General features: G+C 35.2%; 1 annotated feature.

Annotated features, from left to right (window-relative positions):
- Positions 3,095-3,928: an enhancer, noted in NCBI's record as "OCT4-NANOG hESC enhancer chr3:104875813-104876646 (GRCh37/hg19 assembly coordinates)". NCBI's record gives its function as "activates a minimal SCP1, AML or CMV promoter by ChIP-STARR-seq in naive and primed H9 embryonic stem cells {active_cell/tissue: H9 hESC(naive and primed)}" and the evidence as "EXISTENCE:reporter gene assay evidence [ECO:0000049][PMID:30033119]".

Genomic DNA, 4,484 nt, shown 5'->3' with positions numbered 1-4,484 from the left:
ATGTGGAGATCATTGATGAGCTTGGCAAGAAGCATTTTGTTGGTGTGTTGGGAACTGAAACCTGGTTTAATTGTGGTCAAGAGAAAATGACAACAAAAATATCGAAAGCAGTTATAATATACAAATCATTCTTTGAAGGAATGCACAATAAATAAAGACAGGTATGGACTTAAGTTTGTTTGTTTTTTTAAACTAAGGTAGAAAAATGATGGCATGTTTACTTGTTGATCGGAAATAATCAGAGATGGAGAACAACATTCTCTCATGGTTGAGATGGAATAAGATCTTGTAAACAAGAAAACATTTTGGCAAAATATACAACCTTGAAGCTGGTGGGAGTAAATATGATGATGGAAGCTCATAGACATTTTCTATTGCTTGCTTCAGGTTTCTCAGTGAACTATGAAGCAAGGTCATCAGCTGAAAGTGAAGATGTGGTATGGAGGCATGGAGGCTTAAGGAGATGCCATATGAAATAGTCCTTGGGCAGTGGAGAAATGAATGCAGCAGGAAAGATTGCTGGGCAGCATGCAGGGCTTCCTCCATTCTTTCTTGCATTAATTGTAGATGCAGTGATGAAGACAATAGCAACCTTGCAATCACACCAAAACAAATGTGAAAACAAAAGCTTCATATGAATCAACAGAAAAAAACTTTAATTTCTTTCATGTTTTGGAGCCATTCTACCTTTCCTTTACTAACTTCTGACTTCATGATATGTGAAAAAAATCACTATTTTATTAATCCTTAATAGTCAGGTATCAGTTTTATGTGCTCTTAAACTATCCTAACCTATGCTTCACGTTTGGACTTATTTGTTAGATGAAGGGGAGTCACTGAAGTTTTTGAAGACAAATGTGACGTGACTAGTACTGAGATTTAGAAGATTACTCTAATGTGGCAGATGGATTTTCCCAAAGTATACATTACCTCTATCCCTTGATAACACTTTCCTTGGCTTAGCATCAAAAGCCATTTGCTACCGAATGTAGAAGCTATTACAGCTTGTGCCAAGAAGGAGAGTTATTCAATCAAAACTCATTGAAATATGTTGTTATCAGGCTGGTGTTTTCTGCTGTGAAATTATTAGGTGAATGCAGTGGTGTCAAAGATTGTTTGAGAACAAATTGCTATAGGCCTTCAAATTTATAAAAGCGGAGTTTAGATTCCCACTGTGGATTTTGGGCACCCTGTCAGTGTTCTGATGTAGACAACTGTCAGAATGAGGATAGGCTTTTATCATAAGATAGGTTATCTATTTTCATCATTAAAGGCCCTGAATTCATTTTGAGTTGTTCAATATGTAAATCTTTTATATAATCATTTATTGCTCTAATAAAGATAGATTTTTAAAAATTGAGATTATTTTGGAGTTTTTTTAAAGGTTAGCAAGTAATATTTTTATTAACTTTATTAAAATTCTGTCAGATATTCTTCAACTGAGGGGCACATGCCACAGATATATGTGATAGTGTTCTGGGAGGACCTGAATGCTTAATGCAAACACAGTACATCTTCCTATGCAATCAATTTATTTCATGGCAGTAAATTTAAATACATTTCTGTTCAAAATAACCAATAGTTTTATTAAGTAGTAAAATGCAAATTCTTACAATTTTGAAGATACATGGAAGAGAATTTAAAAAATAAAGATATCTAAAGTTAAATTCCTAGATGCCTCTTTTTTATCTGCTATTTATTTTTGTATATTGATATCTTATTTTGTGACAGGCATTGTACTAGATGAGAAGAATAAAGCATCAGATAAGAAAAAACAGGACTTGATAATAAAAGTCACATCTATTTTGTGAAAGAAGTAAATAGGAACTAAATTTACTGCACACACACTATGTGCCAGTCACTGTGGGCCATACCTTTGACATATTTTACATATCCAGCTCCATTGCTTAGTGTAAGCAGCTTCACTGCTTAGTGTAAGGCCATGCAGCTGGCAGGCTAGCAATAGCTGAATGTCTCTCGTTAAAAATAGTTGAAGGGATTTCAAAATGATTATAAAGTAGGTAGGCTCTTGTTGAATAGTCAACAGTAAACTATATTTAAAATGTATTCATGCAACTCGAATATTGTAGCACCTGGAAATATCAATATAATTAAACTTCAGTCTAGATTTTACCTTGAGCTTTTAGGCAATGAACCTTTAAGAAATTATTAGCATTAAGCGAAAATTGGATGCAAGATGTAAATGGTAAGGAGTTATCTGCTTAAGTAACTCAGAATAATTACTTCAGAATACATTATGTAAATTTCTGTTTTTTAATCTAGAGATAGATTACTTAGTCTGTGAACTATCCTGGCTTCATTCAAGCCATTTTCTCCAACTTCTCTTTTTTTTTTTGACTTACAAATATTTCTCTAATTTCTACCAGTGTTTCTTCAGAAAGTCCTACAAAAGTTTGAAGAGGAAGGAAGTTGAACTTAGTGACTAAAAGGAGGTATTTTGTTGATGTCATGTTTTGAGTGCTCAAATAACATATATATGGAAACTTATGTTGGTTCCACAGTTTTTTTGTATTTATTTTTGGTCTTTTTCTCAATTCCCTAGCTTTTGTGTCACCTTTTCTGTTTTTAGGAGATACATTGTATCATAATGTATATTCAGAAGAAAATCCACTTAAATGATAACATTAACATCTTTAGTGTGGGAAAGTGGATGATTTTATTATATTACCTTTGTTTTTCAATACTTTCACATTTTAAACAGTGAGAATTGTATTAATTTTATGAACAAAAATGTTTAAAATTTTAAAATAAGTCTCGTGTTAATGGAAAAGAAACTCTGTAAAACATTGTAAAGAGATTTTTCTGAGCCAATATGAATTACTGCATCCCAGAGAAAACACAAACCCAAGAAGCCTTGAATAAGGGGTCCTCAGACAATCAGGATATAGTTTGGTTTTATACATTTTAGCATGACAGTGTCAGAGGTGTCTAAGCCATTGCAACGCCACCTTGAATAGGAGCTGGGTAAAATAAGCCTAAAAGCTACCGGGCTGCATTCCCAGATGGTTAGGCATTCTAAGTCACAGGATGAGATTGCAGGTTGGCACAACATACAAATCATAAAGACCTTGCTGATAAAACAAGTTGCTATAAAAAAACCGACCAAAACTCACCAAAACCAAGATGGCCATGAGAGTGACCTCAGGTCATCCTCACTGCTACACTCCCACCAGCGCCACGACAGTTTACAAATGCCATGGCAACATCAGGAAGTTGCCCTATATGGTCTAAAAGGGGAGGCATGAATAATCCACCCCTTGTTTAGCATATAATCAAGAAATAAGCATAAAAATGGGCAAACAGCAGCACTCAGGGCTGCTTTGTCTATGGAGTAGCCATTCTTTTATTCCTTTACTTTCCTAATAAACTTGCTTTTCCTTTTCGGCTCACCTTGAATTCTTTCTTGCACAAAATCCAAGAACCCTCTTTTGGGGTCTGGATAGGGACCCCTTTCCTGTAACAACAAGAGTTACAAACAAGGACATAAATCAATACATGGAAAGTATAAGTTGGTTCAGCCAGAAAAGGTGGGTCATCTCGAAGAATGCCCTTATAAGACATTCTTTAGTTGACAATTTGTTGAGAGGGTTAAGCTATTGTATAAAGACTTGAAGTCAATAGAAAGGAACGCTTGAATGAAAATAAGGAGACTGAGGGGTGGGGGGCCCACCAAGGCCCTTGTTATGTAGATGAAGTCTCCTGGTAGCAGCCCTCAGAGAGAATAAATGGTGAATGTCTCTTTTCAGACCTTAAATATGTCAGAATCTCAGCTAGAGATTCTGAGAGGAGAGATTCTGATCTCTCCTAGATCCAAGAAAGGCCTAGAAAGGGAAGGCATGGCTGCATTAATGGAGATTCTCCACAGATGCAAATTTCCCTCACAAAAGATGGCTTCGCAGAACCATTTCAAAATATGTCAAATAAATATATTTGGGGGTAGGATATTTTGATTTCCTTCAGGCTCTGCTGTCATGTGATGCTATACTAGAGCAAATCCAAAAAGCAAGCCACCTTATACAGAGTTATTAAAAGAAAATTTCCATTTTATTCTTTGTAGGGTGTGACTTAATCTTTGCTTGCATGGTCTTAGGTTTTGTTGAAAACTTGGTGTCTTATTGCCACAAAGAGATTTGGTGTCTTATTGCCACAAATATTAAAATAGATTTCTATTTTAATCTTAATGCTAGTTAGTTGTGCCCATACTCCAAAAGGAATGGGATATAAGGAGACGCCTCTGACCTCTCTTCCCATCATGGCCAGGAATTCAGTTTTTCAGGTTTCTCTAGGGTCTTGGCCTTGGCCAAGAGGTGGTCTGTTTAGTCAGTTGAGGGGCTTGGGATTTTACTTTTGGTTTATACTTGGAGAAAAATAATTAATATATACGACTTTAATTCTTTGGTAAATGCATGTGGGTAATAAGCACAGATTTCAAACAATATTAGATTTTTTAGAAATAGTATCAA

The sequence above is a fragment of the Homo sapiens genome, chromosome 3 (assembly GCF_000001405.40).
Source record: "Homo sapiens chromosome 3, GRCh38.p14 Primary Assembly".
Taxonomy (NCBI): Eukaryota; Metazoa; Chordata; class Mammalia; order Primates; family Hominidae; genus Homo; species Homo sapiens.
This window is presented reverse-complemented; position numbering and strand designations above follow the sequence as displayed.